The following is a 24,386-nucleotide window of genomic DNA, read 5'->3' on the forward strand; positions in this document are numbered from 1 at the left end:
ATTGGGAAGATAATATACGTTCTATTACTAAGGCATGTGAGCGCCTTGTAGGGCACGTTCTGTCTTCTGACTACATAAGCAACACTTTTGCGACCCTAAGTCACAGCACCCACAGCTTTTGGCAGGATACTTTAAAACAGAAAAAACACATCATTGATCCTGGCAGGATTTTTTAAGGGATTGTGCTTAAGAATGTTTAACTTTGGTAATCAGAGACCACCACTGGTGTTTTTCTCCAAAATCACATCTTTAAGTTAATTAATACTTGAAGTTAATAAATAATACTGCTCAGTGTATTAGTAATGATGCCATAATACCATGTGAATTTATGCTGATTCAAATGTTGTTTTTTTCGTTTGATACTCATATGGCCTTCTGTTTGAGGACTTCAGATTATTTAGCAACTGATTTAATCTGTTCAGAAATAAACTTTGCTACAGCTGGAAAGCGTGAGGCTTGAGAAAGCAAGTTTTGGACAGGGACGTATGAAGCTCATGTTGAAACTTAAGTGTTTTAGGCTGTATGGGAGCTTGAATGGAGTGAAAAGAACAAGCGTCTACTGTCAGGTTTTCCTCCTCCCTCTAGATTTATAACCTCATTCTAGAGTTGCAAAAGTTGGAACTTTCCACTGTTCACTCTCTAGTAGGGATAAAGTGATGGAAAGGAGTTCTGTTAAAGAGGACTAGTACTTAGATTGTGAACTTTGAAGTAGGGGTTGAGCATAGATGGCTCATAGGTGGTATGAGACACTATTTGTGTAAAGTCTCAGAATATTTTTCCTTGCTTATAATTGAATAAGAAAGAAGATGTTTAAAAGTCAAATGATAAAAATTGTATGTGCTGTTTTCTGTGGTATGTTTTAACAAATCTACATGGAAGATAGGACTTCAAAAAAAATTAAAAATAGCCGAAGGAGGAAGAAGGTAGTGTAGTTCCAGCCAAATGGTACGTTTTCCAAAAAGCCGAAGATTGATGTAGACGTTTATGTAAATACATATACAAAATCTAGTTTCTGGAACACAGTGTTTAATATGTAGAGACTTTAAAAAGTCGGCGTGTGACTACTTAGCCCTTAAAAACAGCTGCCAAAACCAGTGGTTATGATAGTCTCTTTTCTTCTTACATCCCAAATCTCCAGATTGCCTTGTGGATGAGATTTGCTTATTGCAAAGCTACTTGTTTTGCTCTACCCAAAACTCCTTTCAGTCTTTAGTGATGACTTCAGATTTTTATATATTGCTGTGTTTATGAAAAAGAATAGTCAATGGTATAATTTTTAAGTACCTCTACAGGAATAAGAGGCATACAGAAAAAAAAAAAAAGGTATTAGGTCAAAAGATGGCATTTCACTCTCGTTGCCCAGGCTGGAGTGCAATGGCGCTATTGGCTCACCGCAACCTCCGCCTCCCGGGTTCAAGTCATTCTTCTGCCTCAGCCTCCCCAGTAGCTGGGATTACAGATGCGCGCCACCACGCCTAATTTTTTGTATTTTTAGTAGAAACGGGGTTTCACCATGTTAGCCAGGCTGGTCTAGAACTCCTGACTTCAGGTGATCTGCCTGCCTCGGCCTCCCAAAGTGCTGAGATGACAGGCATGAGCCACCGTGCCCGGCCCAAATGTCCCATTTTTAATTAAGTGTTAGTAATTGAAGTCATCCTCCAAAAGACCTTTTAAATTTTAAGATGGCATAATTGTCACTGAAATACTTAATGTACGTCATAATTATACTAAAAGTGAAAGGTATGATAAATGTATTTTTTATATATTGCCTATTCACTTTATGTTATGTTTCATTTTATACTTGTGTCCTTTGTGCCTATCATATGATTTTATAATAAAGTGTAATGTAGTGAAAAGGAATCGACTGGTTTGGTGAGTTGAAAAAGGGAGGACTTTTATTAGTCTGGGGGAACAGCTTTTGTCAAGGCTCAGAAAGGAAAAATCTAAGGGACTCTGGAAATGGCAATGAGGAGGAGTATTGTAAGATTAATACTTTTGGAAAGTTAAGTTGAGACTGGATATATCATTCAGAGATATTTGTTGTGCTGTTACACGGCAAGTATTATTTCAGGTTCAAGGGGGACAGCGGTGAACAAAACTGATAAGGCCTCATTCTCACCCAATTTAATTTTTTTTTCCTTTTACTCTTGTTGAGCTGTGATCAGGAAATTTAATATTCGAGTAATATTAGTTTGCAGTAGTGCAGCAGTGTTTCTCAGTTTTTTTTTTTTTTTTTTTTTTTACTGCAGCCCACAATAAGATGTACATGGACATCACTAACTCAATAAACAGTTCAATTGTGTGTGCTTCAACAGTGTGCCCTTAATGTGTGCATTCACTGTGGTATATCTGTTTTTCTACATTTAAAAAATGAGAAACTGGTTTGAAGCAATCTGCATTTGAAAACATTGATCCAGAGGGGAGAAAATAAATACTTAAATTATAACACTAGTAGTGTGAATGGAAAGAAGGGGATAGTTAATTTTTTAAGGTGTATTATTTCGCTCTGTCGCCCAGGTTGAAGTGCACTGACATGGTCAGCCCACTGCAACCTCCACCTCCTGGGGCTTGGGTGATCCTCCTGCCTCAGCTTCCCAAGTTGCTGGGACTACAGGTGCGTGCCACCACACCCAGCTAATTTTTAAATTTTTTTGTAGAGACAGCATTTCCCTATGTTGCCCAGACTGGTCTCGAACTCCTGGACTCAAGCAGTCCTCTCACCTCGACTTCCAAAGTGCTGGGATTACAGGTTTGAGCCACTGCATGGGTGGCCCAGAGTGTATTATTTTTTTTGATGGACAGATCTTAATTGTATACATCGTGGGATAGGGGATCATTCATTTTTATACCGAGGTATGTTTGAATATTTTGTGAATGAGGCTTAGAGAGGTTAAGTAATTGGCTCAGAGTTCCCTAATGAGTAGCCAGAAGACTGTTTTTTTTTTGTTTTGTTTTGTTTTTTTTGAGATGGAGCCTTGCTCTGTCACCCAGGCTGGAGTGCAGTGGCGCTATCTCGGCTCACTGCAACCTCCGCCTCCTGGGTTCACACCATTCTCCTACCTCAGCCTCCTGAGAAGCTGGGACTACAGGCGCCCGTCACCATGCCCGGCTAATTTTTTTTTTTTTTTTTTTTGTATTTTTAGTAGAGACGGGATTTCACCGTGTTAGACAGGATGGTCTCTATCTCCTGACCTCATGATCCGCCCGCCTCAGCCTCCCAAAGTGCTGGGATTACAGGCGTGAGCCACTGCGCCCGGCCTCATAAGTGTTCTTCTGGCCTCTAAAACCCAAGTACTTATCACTTCCCATTTGGTTATGAAAGCAATATACTGGGTTTTAGTATGGGTTACTGAAGACTAATGTTACTTGTTTATTGTTCAATGAATTGAGTGTATACTAGGCCTCCAGGTGTACTGTATCCCTGTGTATTGGTAGATATGGTCCTTACTCTCAAGAATTGTGTAATCTGGTAGAGAAGATACACATTGAACAAGTATCACAAATGTGTTATGTGCTATGGAGAAAAAGAATGCTGTTGGGGCATGATTGAGGGCAACCTAATTTATTTGGGGGGTATGATAACACTTTTCAGGAAATGATGTTAAACTTTGCCCACTGTGATGATGGCATTTCTTAGGACAATTTTGGATTAATTATGAAAACAACTACTCTCTGAGCAATTGTTGAAAAAAAAATTAAAAAGCAAACTTTGCCCAGAAGATTAGGCTTTAGTTAGTTTGAAGGCACTGAGTCAGAGTGTGGTGTCAGGTAAAGGGATGAGGAAGCATTCAGGTAGAAGAAACTGCATGTACTAAGGTTCCTAAGCTGAAAGGAACAGAATTGGAAAAAACAGAAAGCAAAACTCAACAGAAATAGAATGTCTGGGCTGTACAAGTTAGTAGAGAAGAGGCAAGAGTTTTGGTGTTAGGATGAGGTTGAATCTTAGCTCTGTTTCTTACTATTCATGTACATTTAGACAAGTTATTTAACGTTAATGAATTTTGGTTTTGTCATCTTTAAAAGGGAAAGTAGCATTTAACAAAATATTTGCTCAATAAATAGCATATCTTATTATCATTAATAGCTAGTAATTGAAGTTATAGCAGTGCAGATGACATGCTTTCATTCATTCATTCTTCAGAAATAATGAGTGTCTTTGTGTGCCAGGCAACTCGATACACAGTAGTTGAATTACACATGTATATGTATTATTACATTAAAGTGTCATAAAACCATATACTTTTACTATGCAAAGCACTGTGCTAAAATTTTTTTCTATTCTATTTTCCATTTGAAGAAAGGTTCAAGAAACTGGTGTGAAGCAATCTACAGTTTGAAAATTACTGATACAGTGAAGAGATGATTACTTAGCCCCTTATTACAGATATGATATGCAAATATTTTCTCCCATTCTGTAGGTTGCCTTTTCACTCCACTGATTGTGTCCTTTTATGCACAAAAGCTTTTAAATTTGATGTAGTCCTATTTGTCTGTTTTTGCTTTTGTTTGCCTGTGCTTTTGGCATTATCCAAGAGTTCACTGCCAAGTCCAGTATCATTAAGCTTTCCCCTACGTTTTCTTCTAGGAATTTTATAGTTTTAGGTTTTACATTTAGGTCTTTACTTCATTTTAAGTTAATTTTTACATGTAGTATAAGACCAGGGTCCAACTTCATTCTTTTGCACGTGGATATCCAGTTTTCCAAGCACCATTTGAAGAGACGATCCCTTCCTCAATGAGCAGTCTTAGCACTTTGTTGAGGGCCATTTGAGAAGGGAGTTTATTTCTGTGTTCTTTATTTCATTGGCCTATTTGACTGTTTTTATGTCAGTATCACACTTGATTTCTTTCTTTTTTTTGAGGCAGGGTCTGGCTCTGTCACCCAGGCTGGAGTGCAGTGGCACGATCACGACTCACTGCAGCCTTGACTCCCACTTCAGCCTCCGGCTAATTTTTGTATTTTTTTGTAGAGAATGGTTTTTGCTATGTTGCCTGGGCTGGTCTGGAACTCATGGGTGATCGGCCTACTTGGCCTCCCAAAGTGCTGAGATTACAGACAGGAGCCACTATGCCTGGCCCGTTTTATTTCTTTCTTTTGATAGCTATTCTGTACCCTTTCCCATTTTATGTTGCTAGTTGAAAATTATTGGTTGTTGTTAAGAATAAACTGATAATAATTGACATATAAATAATATGTTGGAGTAACTCATTAAAAAATAACTTTAGTGTATTCTTTTGACTCTGTGATTTGTGAAGTAATCATCAAAATGATCTCTATAAGCATAAGGTTGATGTTCTTAAATCTTTTTACAACACTGTGATTGCAGGGTGTGGAGTAATTGACAGGCTCTGAAGATGCAGGGGTGTGGTAAATTTGCTGATTCCAGAAGAAACCCTTATGTCTCACCTAAGTGTGAAATTAGAATAGGGTAGCTAGTTAATGACTCAGAATGTATCAGCCTACAGTCTTTTTTGTATTTTGTTTTTAGACTGAGCTCTGAAATACAAAACCACAAACTAGTGACTAATTTGCATTTGGAAAATTAATCTTCAAACGTATCTTTTTCTTTAAAGGAAGAGGGAAAAAGAACAAAATAAATTTACAAGTTACTTTGCCTTTTCCTAGGGCCTGAAGTGATTAAACTTGGAAAAGTTGATGACATTAATCATACATTGAACTAGAAGGGAACTTATTTTTTCTGGTAGTCTACTACTTTGGACTCTCTTTTATTATGCATTGGCTAGATTTGCTTTTTCTGTAATTTTTTCTCAAATTCTTTTGTCCATAATATGGCTCCATGCTACTTTGCTTTTACCCTTCTACTTCTCAATACCAACCTCTTCATTCTGGTCATTCTGTGTCTCTCTTATCTTTTCAGTCATCATTTCTACCTTCTTGTCTGCTGTCAAGGAGAGTTGTTTAATGGGTTGTTCCACATTCTAGAATAGTTTACCATTCTTTTTCTATTATTCCATAATTTTTCAAAGTTAATTATATTTCATGTTTTCATCTATAGATTGCTATTGTTTTCAAATGATTTTTTCAATAATCTTTCACTTTGTTTCATTTGAGAGCTTATCTCCAAATGTGTGTGTGTATGTGTTTGTGTGTGTGTGTATGTGTTGTGTGTTAGCTCTTTCTCTACCTGGTTAATAGACATTAGTGAGTAAGGACCTTATCTTACACTTATATGTCACTACGAGGAATGTAATACAGTGCTGGACATCCATCAGGCATTGAAAATTTTTTGTCCCCTTCCCCCATCCCCACATGTCCCATTTTTTCCTTTCAAATTTTTGTGTATTCCCTAGATTTACCTGGTTATAGCTAATTCTTTCAATGGCATTCAGACTCAGAAGGTCTTTTAACATTTAAAATTTATTCTTTCTTAGGAAAAAAATAGTTTCATACTATTTGTTCTTTCTTTTTCTTTTTCCTTGTTTTTAATAGAATCTTGCTCTGTCTCCCAGGCTTAGGAAAAAAATGGTTTCATACTATTTGTTCTTTCTTTTTCTTTTTTCCTTGTTTTTAATAGAATCTTGCTCTGTCTCCCAGGCTGGAGTGCAGTAGTGTGATCGTAGTTCACTGCAGCCTTGAACTACTGGATGATCAAGTGATTCTCCCACCCCAGCCTCCTCAGTAGCTAGGACTATAGGCACACACCACTGTGCCCAGCTAATTTTTAGATTTTTTTGTAGTGATGGAATCTCACTTTGTTCCCCAGGCTGGTCTGGAACATCTGGCTTCAAGCGATCCACCCACCTTGGCTTCCCGAAGTGTTGGGATATAGGTGTGAGCCACCTTTCCTGGCCATGCTACATTTTGAAATGATGGAAATGTTTTAGAATCTGGGTTTTGTATCCGTGTGACAATTTTAAAGGGTCACACATAGACACATGACCCCGAATGCAAAACTAATATGACAAACTTATAATAATATTTTACAATTTTGCAGAGATCTGGCTTTCTTAGTTTACGAAGAGTGTATACAAACCAATAAGAAAAAAATTAGTAATGAACAGAAAATATGGGCAAAAGATGTGAAAAGGCATTTATGAAAAAAAGAAATAAAAATTTTACTTACTCATAGTTAAGGAAATGAAAATCAAAATGAGGTGCTACTTTGTTAAAAAAAAATTAGATGAGCAAATGATAGCTATTGTTGCCGGGGATATAAAGCAATGGACAGTCTCATGCACTGTTGATGACTTAATTGGTTAGGAATTCATTTTGTCTCAAAGTAATAGAAAACTTGTATATTGATAGTAGTTTAAACAAATAGGAATTTATTTCCTTACACAATAGGAAGGTGGCATTTTGTTAGAGCTTGATGATGTCAAGGTTGGTATTTCTTAATTTTCTTGGCCAATCCCTTATAGACTACTTCATGGACATGAATCGTTTCAGATATGGTCAAATCCAAGGTAAGAATAAATTGGTAGAAGGAAGGACCACACTAGTTGTGATTGTCCCTTTTTATCAAAAAAGCAGAAGCTTTCTCAGAGCTCTGCAGCTGATGTTCTTTTCAGTTTTGTGGTCACTTACATGAGATTAACTATATTGCTGCTTTGAATGAAATCAGTATTTTATTAGTAAGGAAATTACTAATAGTGAGAAGGGATATTGGGTAGGCAACTAACAGTGTCTGCCAGATGACTAGTGCAACTTTTCCAGAGAGAAATTGTCAGCATCGGCTGTGCACGGTGGCTCACGCCTATAATCCCAGCGCTTTGGGAGGCCGAGGCAGGCGGATCATGAGGTCAGGAGATCAAGACCATTCTGGCCAACATGGTGAAACCTCGTCTCTCCTAAAAATACAAAAATTAGCTGGGCATGGTGGTGCGTGCCTGTAGTCCCAGCTACTCAGGAGGCTGAGGCAGGAGAATCGCTTGAACCCGGAAGGCGAGGGCTGCAGTGAGCCGAGATTGCGCCACTGCACTCCCGCCTGGGTGACAGATCGAGACTCTGTCTCAAAAAAAAAAAAAAAAAAAAAAAAGTCGTCAGCATCTTTCCAAATTTAGTATTATTCTTCAATCCAAAAGTTATACTCTCCAGAGTTTACCCACAAACAAGTTTCTGTTTTTCTGAATTATTTAGAGAACTTGGTAGAAGTATAACTTTCTTGGCCCTTCCCTAGACCTCAGAATCATTGTAGTCGGTAAGGAATCTATATTAGTTTTAAACAGCTTACTAGTTGACTTGTTTGGAGCCAGATTTGCAAATTTCTGCATAGACGGTAGTGAAACTCAGATTTTTATAGTATGGTAGTCATAAAATTGTTAAAAAAAAAATGTATCCAGTCAACTTATAGCTGGCTTTTTAAAAAAATAACAAAAAACTTCTCCCCCCATTCAGTTAAGTAATTGCAGATAGGCAAAAAGAATAAAGCACACATCTCTCTTTTGTATGGAGAACAATTGTTAACACCAGCTGCCAGTTTTGTATTTTATTTTATTTGGTGTAAATCCTTACAAATCTGTGAGTGCATGTGTGTATGCATATATATGTATTTAAAAAATCTATAATGGATATTTTTCTGTATCAATACAGATGTACATATTTCCTTTTTAATTCTTATTATTCCATTATATATGATTTATTTTTTTTTTTTTGAGACGGAATCTCACTGTATTGCCCAGGCTGGAGTGCAGTGGCACGATCTTGGCTCACTGCAACCTTCACCTCCCGGGTTCAAGTGATACTCCTGCCTCAGCCTCCCGAGTAGCTGGAACTACAGACGTGTGCCACCACACCCTGCTAATTTTTTGTATTTTTAGTAGAGATGGGGTTTCACCATGTTGGACAGGCTGGTCTTGAACTCCTGACCTCAGGTGGTCTACCCTCCTCGGCCTCCCAAAGTGCTGGGATTACGGGCATGAGCCACCGTGCCTGGCCGAGTATACTATTTATTAAAGCAGTCTTTTTCTTTTCTTTTTTTTTTTTTGAGACGGAGTTTCACTCTTGTTGCCCAGGCTGGAGTGCAATGGCATGATCTCGGCTCACTGTACCCTCCTCCTCCCAGGTTCAAGAGAGTCTCCTGCCTCAGCCTCCTGAGTAGCTGGGATTACAGGCATGTGCCACCACGCCCGGCTAATTTGGTATTTTTAGTAGAGACAGGGTTTCTCCTTGTTGGTGAGGCTGGTCTCGAACTCCCAACCTCAGGTGATCCGCCTGCCTCAGCCTCCCAAAGTGCTGGGATTACAGGCATGAGCCACCACGCCCGGCCAAAGCAGTCTTTTTCTTAATACACCCTCCAGTTTTGCTGTACAACAGTGCTGGTAATGAATGCCCTTAAACAAATACATGTTTTTTCTGATTATTTCCATAGTATAAAATATGTACAGTTGCTATTTGGTACACTCATTATTTTGATTTATGTCTTTATTAGTAAAGATATAGGTCTTTTTTATGTTTATTGGTCATTTGCATTTCTTCCTTTGCATTATTGTCTTTAAAGTTTTAGTCATCTTTTTAATTAACTACTATTAATATATTAAGTAGTAGTATATTCTAAGTATATTTTAAGAGTAAATCAGTTTTATGGTCTGCTTAATTTTGAGAATAATTCCTCATTTTAAAAAAAATGAGACATGCCCTATAATTTAATGATTTGGTTTCCATTTAAGCTGTTAGTGGAAGAGATGAAGGTAATTATGAAAATATAATGTGGTATTACCTTAAAGGGGTAATTGCTTATTACCTTATAGCCTTAAAAATTAGATGACATAATTTTAAGTATATTATGTAGTTATTATCCAGACTGTAAGCCTTTCTCAAATATGTTTTTTAGAGGTAGGGTCGTGCTCTGTTGCCCAGGCTGGAGTATCGTAGCAGGGTCAATGCTTACAGCAGCCTTGAACTTCTGGGCTCAGGTGATCCTCCTGCCACAGCATCTCCTGAGTAGCTGGGACTGCAGCTGTGTGCCACCATGCCTGGCCCCTTAAATGTGTTTTAAGTAACATTTATTCACTTTAAAAATTACTGTTTAATTTTTTAAAGCCATAATTTATATCTTATATAATAAAGTTGAAACCTAGCTGTCAGGATTTATAAATCGTAAGTATATAGATATATTTAAGCAATATGATTTTATCTTTTCTAAAACTTTATCCTGAGCCAAGTGATGAGCTTCCTTTTGAAATGTTTATACCCATGACCAGAATTTTTGTCAGTTTTACTTTTAGCCTCCAGAACAGTTGTTAAAGATATGCCGTTTTCCAGTGATTGATAGCAAGGTAACATTCAGGCACCGAATCAGATTCTTACCTAAATAAGAAACATTGAATTTTAAATAGTATTTCTTCATTGGGTAGCAGGCAGTGTACTTATTTGTTGTTTGAATGAGGTAACAAATCCACAGTTATTTGGTTTTCATTCAAATACCAACAACAAAATGGCAGTTTTGTGAAGAATTTATAATTTTATTTACAATATAAAAACTAATGAACCTTCTGATTCTGACTTGTAGGGGATTAAGACTCACATTAATATTTCTTTAATAGCTAAATTAGGGCTTTTTAAAAGGTGTTGTTGAGGCCAAATAATTTTATTGGCATTTGGAAGATATTTCTCTTTTTTTCGTGTTTCCACAGATCGTTAACTGAAGACAATATGCAAAATTCTCACATGGATGAATACAGAAATTCTAGTAATGGCAGCACAGGCAACAGTTCAGAGGTAGTGGTAGAACATCCTACTGATTTCAGTACTGAGATTATGAACGTTACAGAAATGGAACAGTCACCTGATGACTCTCCCAATGTGAATGCATCTACAGAAGAAACTGAAATGGCAAGTGCTGTGGACCTTCCAGTGACGCTGACAGAAACAGAAGCAAATTTCCCTCCAGAATATGAAAAATTTTGGAAAACTGTAGAAAATAATCCTCAGGATTTTACAGGCTGGGTATATTTGCTTCAATATGTAGAACAGGAGGTTAGTAACTATTAAAATGGTATCAGAAGGGACAAATTAATCAAGTCATTAATTTATAATGAAACAGTAGACCTTATTGTTTATGATTAAAATTGACTCATAATTTTCAAATGAAGTTGAATAACATTAGGTAGCTACATTTTTAGCTTTGAAAATAGCTTACAGCTTTTGTATGTTGTAGAGAGTCAGTAGTGTCAAAGCTTAATGTTTTGTAATAATTGAGGTGTAAATGTGTGTGTAAAATTGCTGAAATAAAAAGTTGGCAAAATTAGTTCCTTCTGTTTCAATTGCGTTTAGAAGAAAAAGGGGGCTGCTGCCTGTGTAGGTTTTTTTTTTTTTTTTTTTTAAGTGAAAGCAAGTTTATTAAGAAAGTAAAGGAATAAAAGAAGGGCTGCTCCATCGGCAGAGCAGCCTGCATGTGGAGTTTTTAAGCCTGCCATTTATTATTATTTTTTTAGATAATAACGTTTGAAAGGAATAATAAATATTTTTTTGACAGAAATTTCCACAATATTTAAATACTGTTTTATTTTTATCAGAATCACTTGATGGCTGCCAGGAAGGCATTTGACAGATTTTTCATACACTATCCGTATTGCTATGGTTACTGGAAAAAGTATGCAGACCTTGAAAAGCGGCACGACAACATTAAACCATCAGATGAGGTGCGTACATCACTGAATAAACTTATCTCCAATAGGTACTGTAAGCCAATTAATAACAAAACAAAGATTTTTTTTTTTTTTTTTTTTTGGCTGGCAGTACCTACCATTTATGGTCAAACAATTTTTATAGGGTATTTATTTGCATTTGTCACTCTTGTGGCATTTGTAGCTAATATTTTCTCTCTTTGTTGGCAGGTGCGTTAAACCTCTACAGTTTGTCAAGCTTTGCAGTGCAAGCCTCTGTATTACACTGCAGCTTAACAAGTAGGGCAGGGCTTTTCTCTCACTTACATTTATTTCTCATTTTCCAAACAATATAGTTGGTTTGCTAGTCACATTTGCTACGTCTTATTGCATTTTTGGTCAGACGCTGTCATTGATGCTCTAATGGGTCTGTGCCCTATGGTCTGTAACCCAAAGCCTGCCCACACAACCCGGTCAGAATGCAGGGACTGCTGCGCTTTGAAGATCAAGACTCTGCACGTGGGGATCAGAACATTGCCATGTTCTATCCAACCTCCACCCAAATGGTAATGGTAGATTATTTAAACAAAATTCCAGTAATTAGTATTTCTAAGGTTCACCGGATAACACAGTGTTGCCTCTCTGTTAAGAAATAATTAAATATTTGAAGTACAGTTTGCTGTTTTCTTCTTAGGTTTATCGGCGGGGGCTTCAGGCAATACCTCTTAGTGTTGACCTTTGGATACATTATATAAACTTCTTAAAAGAAACATTGGACCCTGGTGATCCTGAGACAAACAATACAATAAGAGGGTATGTGGAACATTGATACTGAAATGTTTTTTATGATATAAATAATTATTCTGATGTTGATAATAGAGCTCATGAAAGCTAAGCTGGAAGTTTAACTTCTATTCCATTGTTAAAAAAATGATACATGTAATAAACTTAAGCTTTATGATTTGAAAATGCAGATAATAAAGCCCTCCTACAGTCCATGCCTCTTATGTCCCCAATTCCACTCCTCAAGGTTAATAGCTTGGTGTGTGTTCTTTCAGATATATGTATAAGTACATGTTTATGCGTATGCTTTCATACTGCTCTTTGACTTTTTTTTTTTAATAATGTTTGGGAATCTCTTCCTGCCATATTTTTTAACAATTACAAAAAGTATTTTATAATACTTTATAAAAAGTATCTTATAAGCCAAAGTACTCTATTTCACCAAATCCTTATTTATAGGAAATAATCAGTGCTACAGTGAACATCTCTGTACAAGTCAATATTTTTTGTAGAATGCACTAGAAATGGAACTTCTGTCAAAGGGAACACACAGCTCAGTTTTATCAAATGTTCCTTCAAAAATGGTATCGATTCTAAACTCCCACAGTGTATGAAAATAATCATTTTCCCACAGCTGTGCCACATTTTTTGTTTGTTTTACCTCCAGTGGCATCTCTTTTAATTTGTTTATGTCTTGATTGCTCATCCTGGTTTACCATGTTCTCATATGCTTATATAAGCCATTTTTTAAATTACCTGTTGATATTATTTGCTCATTTTTCTATTACATTATCTTTTTCTTGATTACAGTAGTTTGCTAATGTACTTGTTTTTGGTTTTCAAAAAAAAGCATGTGCATATTGCTTAAGAAGTTAGCTAATGTTAAACTGCTTGTAACAAAAAGTACCACCTCCACCTCCCTTCAAATATTTTAGCTCTTTCTTCTGGTATTTTCCACCATGTGTTTAACAGTAGATCTATGTTGCTTTCTTTCTTTCTCTGTTAGCTGTAGACATTATGTATCTGTTACGGTAAGTGAGAATTTTAACCCACTTACACTTTGTTTTCTCATTCCTTATCTTTCCAATATAGCTACAGAATAGGTTTCAATAATCAGCTTCAGTATTTTTTTTTAATCATTGTAAATCCATAAATAAGGATGGGCACAGTGGCTTATACCTGTAATCCCAGCACTTTGGGAGGCTGAAGTGGGAGGAGCGCTTGAGCCTGGGAGGTTGAGGCTGCAGTGAGCTGTGATTGCACCACTGCACTCTAGCCTGAGTGACAGAGTGAGACCTTGTCTCAAAAACAAAAAACATTAGCTGGGCATGGTGGCGCATGCCTGTAGTTCTAGCTACTCGGGAGGCTGAGGCAAGAGAATCGCTTGAACCTGGGAGGTGGAGGTTGCAGTGAGCCAAGATCGATCGTGCCACTGCACTCCAGCCTGGATGACAGAGCAAGACCCTGTCTCAAAAAAAAAAAAAAAAGAGAGAGAGATCAAAAACCTATAAATATTTTTCATCATACTGTCTTTTCATTTTATAACCTTTTTGGTTTTTAATTGCTCCTCCCCTGCCCCTCATTTTTCCCGTTTGTCTAATTTTCTTTGAACATTTAAGGTTTTTTCATACTCTCCAGCAGCTTTGTAGAAGGCTTTAAATATAGCTTTCTATACAATCAGATCTGTTAAAAAATGTGTAAGTCCCATTTTTTCCTCTCCTTTGAGCTGTCTCCTGGAAACCTTCCTACTATAATCTGGACTGGTCTTCTAGTTCTGCTGTACAAGAGTTGTCTTGGGATTTTCTTATCATCATGGTTCTAGGAGATGTCTTTACCTCACTTCTGGGTGAGTTTATTATTAGATCTCACTCTTTTCTTGATTTCATGTCCAACTTTTAGAAGAGTGTGTCCTATAACTTCTTGTTAAAGGATGCTTGGATGAAAAAATAATTTTAAGGTTTGGTAAGCTGTAGAATTTGGAGTTGAAAATTATTTTCTCCATAGAGCTTTGAAGGCATTATTTATTCCTTTATAGCTTCTGCTATTGCTTTTGAGAAGTCCAATACCATTCTTGCAGAATAGATTCTCTTTCTATAATGTGTTTTTCCTCTGTGGAAGCTGTTAGGATGTTCTCTTTGGGTCTGATGTAAATGAAGTTTTATAAAAATGAGCTTTGATGTGGATTTTCTTTTTCTTATTGTGATTATTGGGTGATTGGGTGAGTCTTTTCATTCTGAGATTCTAATGTCCTTCTATTCTTAGAAATGTTATTATTATGGATATTCTTATTTTGACAGTTTCCTTGCCTTGATTTTCTCTGTTGTTTTTAATAGTTGGATGTTGGACCTCTTCTTTTAATTACTGAGTTTTTCTTTTCTTCTTCCTATTTTTCATATCTTAGACTTTGTCTGGCTTTTTGAGGTATTTCCTTGACCCTTGTATTGGATTTTTAACATCTTCCATCAGATTATTATTATTTTTTTTTTTGAGACAGAGTCTCCCTCTCTCCCCCAGGGTGGAGTGCAGTGGCTCGATCTCGGCTCACTGCAAGCTCCACCTCCTGGGTTCACGCCATTCTTCTGCACCAGCCTCCTGAGTAGCTGGGACTACAGGCACCTGCCACCACGCCTGACTAATTTTTTGTATTTTTAGTAGAGACAGGGTTTCACCGTGTTAGCCAGGATGATCTGCATCTCCTGACCTCGTGATCCGCCCGTCTTGGCCTCCCAAAGTGCTGGGATTACAGGCGTGAGCCACCACGCCCGGCCCAGATTCTTAATATCCAAGAATCTTTCTTGTTCTCTGAGTGTTCCTTTTTTTATACTCTCCAATTCTTGTTTCATGGCTGCATATCTTTTTGTTATTTCTTTGATGATACTAAGGATAGTTGAGATTTTCCTCTGTTCCCAGGACGGTTTCCTCTCAAATTTTTCTGTTTACCCATTTTCATCTCTGAGATATGTGATCTCTGGATTTTTGTTCCTATTACAGATTAGATATTAACAAGCTATATGAGCCAGGCACAGTGGATCACTTGAGGTCAGGAGTTCGAGACCAGTCTGGCCAACATGGTGAAACCCTGTCTCTACTTAAAATACAAAAAAATTAGCTGGGCATGCTGGCAGGAGTCTGTAATCCCAGCTTCTCAGGAGGCTGAGGTAGGAGAATTGCTTGAACCTGGAAGGCAGAAGTTGCAGTTAGCTGAGATCGTGACATTGCACTCCAGCCTGGGTGACAGAGCGAGACCCTGTCTCAAAAACAAACAAACAAACAAACAAACAAACAAAACAAAACACAAGCATATGGAAGCACTGTGTGTTTTGTATGGGGCATTGTCAGTTGGCCTATGGTGTTTCACAGTAGTGTAATCATGTGGCCACTCTTTTTGCTGGTGGATTCCCAGTGATAGTAACCTTATATCTTATTCCTGAGCCAAGCAGTTTGTTTAGAAAAGGATAATTTTATTTACTTGGGGAATGGACACCTAGCTTCTGAAATCCCCATAGCTGGGCGGGAAAGTTGAAGATTTCTCACGATTCATTAAGTATACCTTCTTCTAAACGTTCTGTCTTCATTTCATTACCTTCTTGTCTTCTTCCCCTTTTCTCCATACTTTTTTCAGTGTCTGGTTAATTTTCTGAATCATTTGGGGTTCTGTAGGGACAGTAACATCTATTTTATTCTTTTGAAAACCTTACACCAAATATGCACATGCATGCATGCACAGACACACATGCTCTTCAATCTTTTATTTCTATATTAAACATATTTCCTCCAATGTTGGTATGTTTTTAACTTTGTTTATGGTGTCTTTTATCATATGGAGTTTTATTTTTCCTTAATGTGCTTCTGTTTTAATTCTTACTGGTTCCTGAGTTTTGTGCCTATTTTACCAAAAATATATAAATCCTGTATTTTGTTCTAACTTTTCTATAGTTTTTTGCTTATTCATTTATCTGAATTTAATTTCTATCTGTCGTGAGATAGACATTAGCCTTTTATATACTCCCACTGTTGAATTAAAGTATCTCCTATATCATACACCAAATACTCACACACATTGATCTCTTTTTTGTTTTCTTGGCTCTGTACTGTTCATCCATTTTTCTGTTACCTGGCCAGTGCCAAACGTGTAATTACTATAGCTTCCTAGTTTCTTATATTATCTTTCAGGAAAATGCCTGCTGCATTATCCTTTTACAAAGTCATTTTGCATTTTTGTATTCTAGATGAATAGTAGAATTTGATTTTTTCTTGTTCCACTAAACATTTTTTAGCGCTTTATTGAAATTGTGTTAAAATTGTGGTTTAACTTAGGGGAGTGTAGTTTTATACTTTTTAAAAATCTCTCTTGATTCTAAGATACTTATCTTGAAAGTATGTATCTAAAAGCTTTATCCCATTGGAGTATTAAATCCAGTGATTAAAATTGCTTACAGAAATCTCTTGACATGACTAGGTATTTTAAAATACTTTGTAACAAACTTTTTTTTTTTCTTTGGAGACAGAGTCTTGCTCTGTCATCCAGGCTGGAGTGCAGTGTTGAGTGGTGCAATTTCAGCTCACTGCCACTTTCGCCTCCCAGGTTCAAGTGATTCTCATGCCTCAGACTCCCGAGTAGCTCGGATTACAGATGTGCACCACAACGCCTGGCTAATTTTTGTATTTTTAGTAGAGATGGGGTTTCGCCGTGTTGGCAAGGCTGGTCTCAAACTCCTGGCCTCATGTGCTGGAATTACAGGTGTGAGCCATCGTGCCCAGCCTGTGATAAAACTTTAATGATAGAATTTTAGAATTGAGAGGGGCTTTTGAGAGGTTTAAAGTATATGTATACTTTTTTTTTTTTTTTGAGACAGAGTCGCGCTCTGTCGCCCAGTCTGGAGTGCAGTGGTGCAATCTTGGCTCATTGCAACCTCCGCCTGCCGGGTTCAAGCAATTCTCCTGCCTCAGCCTCCCAAGTAGCTGGGACTACAGGCATGTGCCACCATGCCTGGCTAATTTTTTGTATTTTTGTAGAGATGGGGTTTCACCATGTTGGCCATGTTGATCTTGAACTCCTGACCTAAGGTGATCCTCCCGCCTCAGCCTCCCTAAGTGCTGCGATTACAGGCATGAGCCTGTAATCACGCCTGTAACCATTTCACCATGCCTCATGAAAATATTCTTAAATTGAGATAAAATTTGCCTCTCTTTAACTTCCTACTTGTTTTAATTTTGTCTTCTGTCATAAATCAATCTATACAATAGACATTTCAGATTTAACAAATACTTACATGTCTACTCTTACCTATTTGCAATGTGTACATTTTGTATTTAATTTTCTATTTGATAAAGTTACATAAAAAGTACATTTATCTATTCTCTTTGTTTTCTCACTCTTTTTAAGCAGCTGTTGTATGCTTTCTGTTATTCTGTCTACCCTTTAATCCCTACTTGCATAGGAAGCAGTTGAATATAATTTTTGAAGTTAGCATTATCTTCTAAATTTAGAAATAATATTTTAAAAGTGATTTTATCTTGGAAAGATAACTTAAGAGTAATTTAATTTTTCAGAACTTTTGAGCATGCTGTTCTAGCTGCAGGAACAGATTTCCGTTCTGACAGACTGTGGGAAATGTATATAAACTGGGAAAATGAGCAGGGAAACCTGAGAGAAGTTACAGCTATATATGATCGTATTCTTGGTATTCCAACACAGCTGTATAGTCATCATTTTCAGAGGTAGGTGGGAAATTCTGATCATTGAAACATCTTTGATTACTCAGATAGTTGGTAATATTAAGTATTATAATTATCTTGGAATGTTATGTAAGCTTTTATTATGTGGAAAGAGGAATAAATTTTGTTGCTAATCACAACCTACATGCTTGCTTTTGACATTTTTTCATATGCCTTATGAAATGTTTAGAAATTTTACTGTTTTTAGATAGAAGTTTCTCCTTATTCATTTTAATGGATAAAGAGAAACAGGAATTCTGTCTTGTCTAAGGTAGTTCAGAGTAATGAAGGAATGAGAAAATAGTACCTAAGTTGAGTTATTTATTTATGGCATTAAATTGACACAGTGCCTGGCACATGATAGATGCTTATTTTTTTTGAAACTTAATGATTTGCTAAATATACATTATTGTGATTGCTATAACACCTTATATCCAAAACAGTGAAGGATGCATTTTATATAGTAAGTAGTATCTATTTTCAAACACTCAGGTATCATTCCATTTTAATTTTCTAAAATGATTTTTCTGTTACAATTGGTATCCTTTTATTTTAATGATTACTGTTAAAACAACTAATTCTGTGTCATTATTTTTGTGTTCTGTTTTCTGCTTTATTCAGAGTATCCCATAAATAAGGATCCAGAAAGTCTTTCTGAACGAGTATGAGGACTGTGTCTTTGCTTTTAAATTGGCATGTTTTCTATTTTTTGTTATAATTTTTATGAGTAGTATTGTATAAACTTAGTATTTTCTATTTTTTGTTATAATTTTTATGAGTAGTATTGTATAAACTTAGGTACTTTTTAAGTGAGTGATTTTCTAAATTTTTTTTTTAGTACCAAAAGTAGAAGACTTTTATGAAGCATTTGTAAAGTACTAAGGATCAATGTGCTAAAGGTAGAAGTTATACAGACTCAGGTTAGAAATAGGAAGCATATAGATAGGAATATTCTCTCTGCTCTTGATGAAATAGAGGAAGCAGGCAGGTTTCTAAGGTATAACGACCTAGGAAGACACTTGCTGAAAGATGTTAACACAAGTAAGAATTGGCATATGGAAATGCTTGGTAAATAGTTACCAAACACATAAGTACAAAAGTACTTAAATTACCTGATGGGCCAAAGAGGGTGTCTTTTCATAGACTAGTTCTTCTGTGATTTAAAGTATAGGAAAAATCTATGACTACAAGAACTTTACTGATGATGGAAAAAAAATATTTGTAGGAAACACACATAGCATTTTCTATATCCCAGACACTGTGCTGAGTGCTTTGTAACTCACTTAATCCTCCCAGTAACCCAGTGAGGCAAGTACTATTGTTCCCATTTTATGAAAGGGGAGACACAGGGAGATTAGCATATTTATCTAAGGCCACAGAGTTTGTAAGTGATTGGAAGCTACTTGGAACTTAGACAGTATGGCCCTGAAGTTTTTGATATGTTCTCCTACAAATCTTTTTTATTTCTAAATAAATATCCCACTAGGCTTTTATTTATTTATTTTTCTTTAAGTTGTCAGTTACCCTAGGCTTTTAAAAATGCATATATACTTACAATAGATATTAGTGGGATTATATTACACATACTGATCTATAATCTGATATTTTTCACTTAATGCATTTAGAACCACTTTCCTTATCAGTTATAGTGAACTCACAAGTAATCTTTATGCAGTTCTTATAGTTTATATAAGTTAATTCACATGACTAACTGCTTTGAGAACCACTGAATGTTTTGTTTTTTTTTTCCATAACACATGCCTCTTTCTTAAAGTCATTTATTTAGCATTTGCTGTGTACCTGTTGATAGGCTATTTAAGTTGTAGGAATGAAGGCCCAAAGAAGCCATGTGTAAATAGCGTTGCCTGTGAGTTGGTCAGAAGGATAGAGGAGGAGGCGTGTGTTAAAAAAGATATTCTAAGTGGTATACAGTAATAATGGAAATATTTTTATTGTGCTTGTGCATTAGGCTTGTACCATTGGATGTACCCTGCACATTATCTCTGAGATAATGTCTAATTTAAATCCTTCTTTAGCATGAGGACTTTGTGATCTGGTCTAACATCCAGGTCCAATCCCTGGTGGTTCCTGAGCTCTAGACACACCTAAGTCTGATAACTTCCCAAAGGGCAGTGTTGTTTTATATCTTTATGACTGTAATACCTTTTCCTCTTTCCACTTGTCTAGTGGACTTATATTCCCTGAGACCACACAGTTTTGTGTCTTCTCTGTGAAATTTTCTCTGGTTCTCCTATACTGAGATACCTAGTCTGTTATTTGTGCCATGACTTTACCTACATTTATTTACATTTATATTAGCACCAGTAACACTGCTTTGAATTTATGTCTCTTATATCCTCAACATGCCTGTCAGTTTCTGAGGCTTAATTCTTTGTATCTCTAATATTTAGGAATAGAGCTCAATATATATTAGGCAGTCAGCCAGTCTTTACTGAATAAATGTTAGCTTTATAATACAAAAAACTGCTGAAAAAATACTGCTTAATATTATGCACATTTTGTCACTGTTTTAAAGAAGTTGTTACATGATGTAGCAATAAGTCATTTTAGATTTATGTACTGTATGTAGTTATTTTGAAATTTTACCTTAAGTTTTTAATTCATTTGTTGACCATTCTGAGTTTTAATATTCATCTGTAATTAAATCTGTTTTTTCATACTACATATTTGAGAGTTACTTCCTTATTTTTAATTTTTTAACATAAGGCAATCTTTGTTAATTTTTTTCCACCTGGTGCTGAAATGGGCCGTTAGCCTCTGTATCCATTGACTTTGCAAAATTTAAATTAGATTCCAATGTTATTTATATACTTTTTTTTTTTTTTTTTTTGAGGTGAAATCTCGCTCTGTTGCCCAGGCTGGATTGCAGTGGTGCAGTCTTGGCTCACTGCAGCCTCCACCTCCCAGGTTCAAGTGATTCTCCTGCCTCAGCCTCCCGAGTAGCTGGGATTACAGGTGCCCGCCCCGACACGGAGCTAATTTTTGTATTTTTGGTACAGATGGGTTTCAGCGTGTTTGCCAGGCTGGTCTCAAACTCCTGACCTCAGGTGATCCGCCCACCTCAGCCTCCCAAAGTGCTGGGATTACAGGCGTCAGCAGGCGCCTGACCTGTTTGCTTACTTTTTAGTAACATTTCTGATAGTAGTATAGAGGTGGGAATGGGAGTTGTGAGACTAGAGGCTGCAAGGTCATTTTATGTTTATCCAGCTTAAAAGTCCCGAGGTGATGAACATGTATTTAAAAGGTACAGTCAGTAGGACCTGGTATCTAATGTAAATGAAAAGCTAGGTGGAAGAGATTGAGAGATGTAGTGGTTGACAGTACCATTAATCAATATTAGAAATGCTGAGGGTGGCGGGGCACGGTGGCTCACACCTGTAATCCCAGCACTTTGGGAGGCTGAGGCGGGTGGATCACCTGAGGTCAGGAGTTCGAGACCAGGCTGCCAACAAGGTGAAACCCCGTCTCTACTAAAATTAGAAAAATTAGCTGGGCGTGGTGGTGCGCACCTGTAATCCCAGCTACTTGGGAGGCTGAGGCAGGAGAATTGCTTGAACCCGGGAGGTGGAGCTTGCAGTGAGCCAAGATAGAACGATTGCACTCTAGCCTGGGCAACAGAGCAGGACTCCATCTCACACAAGAAAATAAAGAAAGAAATACTGAGGGTATTCATTTTCAGATGAAGATGCCATACTTATTTTAAAATATTTCATATTTGAGGTTCCAAAGGTATATTCAAATTGTGATAGTGTAGATATTTTAGCTCCTCAACCTGGTATTTTTGATTACAATTTGTATGTATACAAATTATTGCATGTTTTTATAAAATAGTGAAATGATATTTTTTTCAAAAATCTTTTTATAGATTAGCTTAAAACTAATCCACATTTCTTTGTGCAGAGTATTGGCAGTTGTATATGCTAATGTGATTAGGAGAAAGGTTTGGACTTGTGTTGTAGTTTTGAGAGTCATCATGGTATACTTATTTCAAGCTGTATGAATGAGATTGGCCAGAAGTATGTATTAATAAAAATAGATGAGAACCAAATGGAGAGTGGAATACTTGGGTATAGTAGCATTTAGGGCAGGTAAGAAGGGGAATAAGACATAGAGCAGCAGTCAGAGGCTTGGAGGACCATACTACAAAACAAGTGTCCATTTAATTTTATATATGAGGTAATTGATAATCTTAATTGGGCAGTTTCATTGGATTTTTGCGTACTCACATGTGGATGAGGAGTATTTGGGAGGTGGGAAGGAAATGCTATATTTGTTGGTTATTTACAAGTGATCATTTAGAATTTAAATATGGATTACAGTATTTAATTTTACTGTAACTTTTATGTCTTTGTAGTAAAATAGATTCTATGACACACGAATAGGTATTATCATCTTATTTTACAATTGAGGAAACTAAGATTTAGAGAAAAGAAAACCTTCCCTAGTCAGATAACCAGTAACAGACAGAACTGAGGTTTGAATTTATGCCCGTCCATGCCTTCTCCATTCCACTGTAAAGGTAGGAAGAAATTGAAGATGTCTATAGACTGTTTTATCATATGGTAGTGTTTTATCATATATGGTAGGATTTTACTATAGAAAAGAAGGAGAAAAGGTATGATATTTTGGTTTCTTTTTTAAATCAAATCCTTTGAAAGAGTAGTATATAGTAGGAATCTCAATATGAGATCTAAAATTATGATTCAAATACATATATTTTTATTGTCTTCCTTTAGATTTAAAGAACATGTACAGAATAATTTGCCTAGAGATCTTTTAACTGGTGAACAGTTTATTCAGTTGCGAAGGGAATTAGCTTCTGTAAATGGTCATAGTGGTGATGATGGTCCTCCTGGTGATGATCTACCATCGGGAATTGAAGACATAACCGATCCTGCAAAGGTAACCAGTCTTATTCTAAAGTTCGTCAGTGGCCAGGTATGGTGGCTTATGCCTGTAATCGCAGCACTTTGGGAGGCCAAGGTAGGCGGGTCACCTGAGGTCCGGAGTTTGAGACCCATGTAGGCAACATGGTGAAACCCTGTCTATACTAAACATACAAAAATTAGCCAGGTGTGGTGGCACATGACTGTAGTCCCATCTACTTGGGAGGCTGAGGTGGGAAGATTGCTTGAACCTGGAAGGCGGAGGTTGCAGTGAGCTAAGATGGCACCACTGCACTCCAGCCTGGGCCAAAGAGCAAGACTCCATCTCGGGGGGAAAAAAAGGTCTTTAGTGCAGAAGAAACTGGACCTGTTATCCCTTGACTCCATGAGTGGCACAGTGATCACTTATATAACTGGCCATTTACCCAGTGACTTGTAGCTTGTTTGAAGTTAATTTCTGATTAAGGCAAGTGGGGATTCAGTAGCTTGTATGTATAGATTTAAGGTAGAGAATCTATTTTACTACAAGACACCCCAAAAAAAACTTAGCTTAGAAGGAATATTTTGCCTAGGTTGTGTATCTACTAGCCCAATTTAAGAAAAAAAGAAAAAATATGAAAGTGGTTAATTAGGAAGTTGTGTGATAAGTTTTAGTGTTGTTAATTGGATTTTGCACATAATTGCCAACAGTTAAAAATCTACCACTATTCTAAGACTAAAATATCTGTGAATAATACTTAAATATAAGCAGTGATATTGAAAATTTTCAGTATACAGTTTGTGAGATTTATTTTTTTCCCTTTTTCTTCCCAAGCTAATTACAGAAATAGAAAACATGAGACATAGAATCATTGAGATTCATCAAGAAATGTTTAATTATAATGAGCATGAAGTTAGTAAAAGGTGGACATTTGAAGAAGGTGTAAGTGTTTTTGTTTTGTAATAGTCTTTAAAATACAAAGTAGGAATAATTTATTTTTCTTTCAATTTTGATAGTACTATCTCTGTTGTAACTTTATTTTTGCATATTTAAGCCATAACTTCAGATGTTTGTCTCATTTATTGTAATCATTATCAGTTTTTCCATTTTCCCTGATGAGTTTTAGAATGTTTGAATCCAGATTTACTTGAATTGCAAGATATCTGCTTAATCTGAACAATTTTATTCTAATTGTTCAATTTTTAAAAGTCAACTTCTTGGGGTTATACTTTACATACATTACAATTCACCCATTTTAGATATATAGTAAAATGAGGTAATTTCCCACAGTTTTAATTCTTTGGTTTTTTTTGACTGCTTTACTGAGATATAATTCACATGCCATATAATTCACCCATTTAAAGTATACAGTTCAATAGTTCTTAGTATATTCACAGATATGTACAACCATCACCACAGTCAATTTTAAAACA

General features: G+C 36.4%; 1 protein-coding gene and 1 non-coding gene across 2 annotated transcripts in view; both read left to right on the top strand.

The window, feature by feature from the left end:
• PRPF39 (pre-mRNA processing factor 39) overlaps positions 1–24,386 on the top strand; it is a 32,167-nt gene that overhangs the window by 512 nt on the left and 7,269 nt on the right. Inside the window, exons 2-7 of the mRNA NM_017922.4 lie at positions 10,594–10,936; positions 11,476–11,601; positions 12,260–12,378; positions 17,902–18,069; positions 22,824–22,989; positions 23,788–23,895. Coding sequence (NP_060392.3) covers positions 10,613–10,936; positions 11,476–11,601; positions 12,260–12,378; positions 17,902–18,069; positions 22,824–22,989; positions 23,788–23,895 — 1,011 coding nt within the window. The 5' untranslated portion in view covers positions 10,594–10,612. The remainder of the gene's footprint in view (positions 1–10,593; positions 10,937–11,475; positions 11,602–12,259; positions 12,379–17,901; positions 18,070–22,823; positions 22,990–23,787; positions 23,896–24,386) is intronic.
• LOC124903416 (small nucleolar RNA SNORD58) lies at positions 3,616–3,681 on the top strand. Its single transcript, XR_007064394.1, has one exon. It is a non-coding gene; the product is annotated as a small nucleolar RNA SNORD58 (small nucleolar RNA).

Source organism: Homo sapiens, chromosome 14 (genome assembly GCF_000001405.40).
Source record: "Homo sapiens chromosome 14, GRCh38.p14 Primary Assembly".
NCBI lineage: Eukaryota > Metazoa > Chordata > Mammalia > Primates > Hominidae > Homo > Homo sapiens.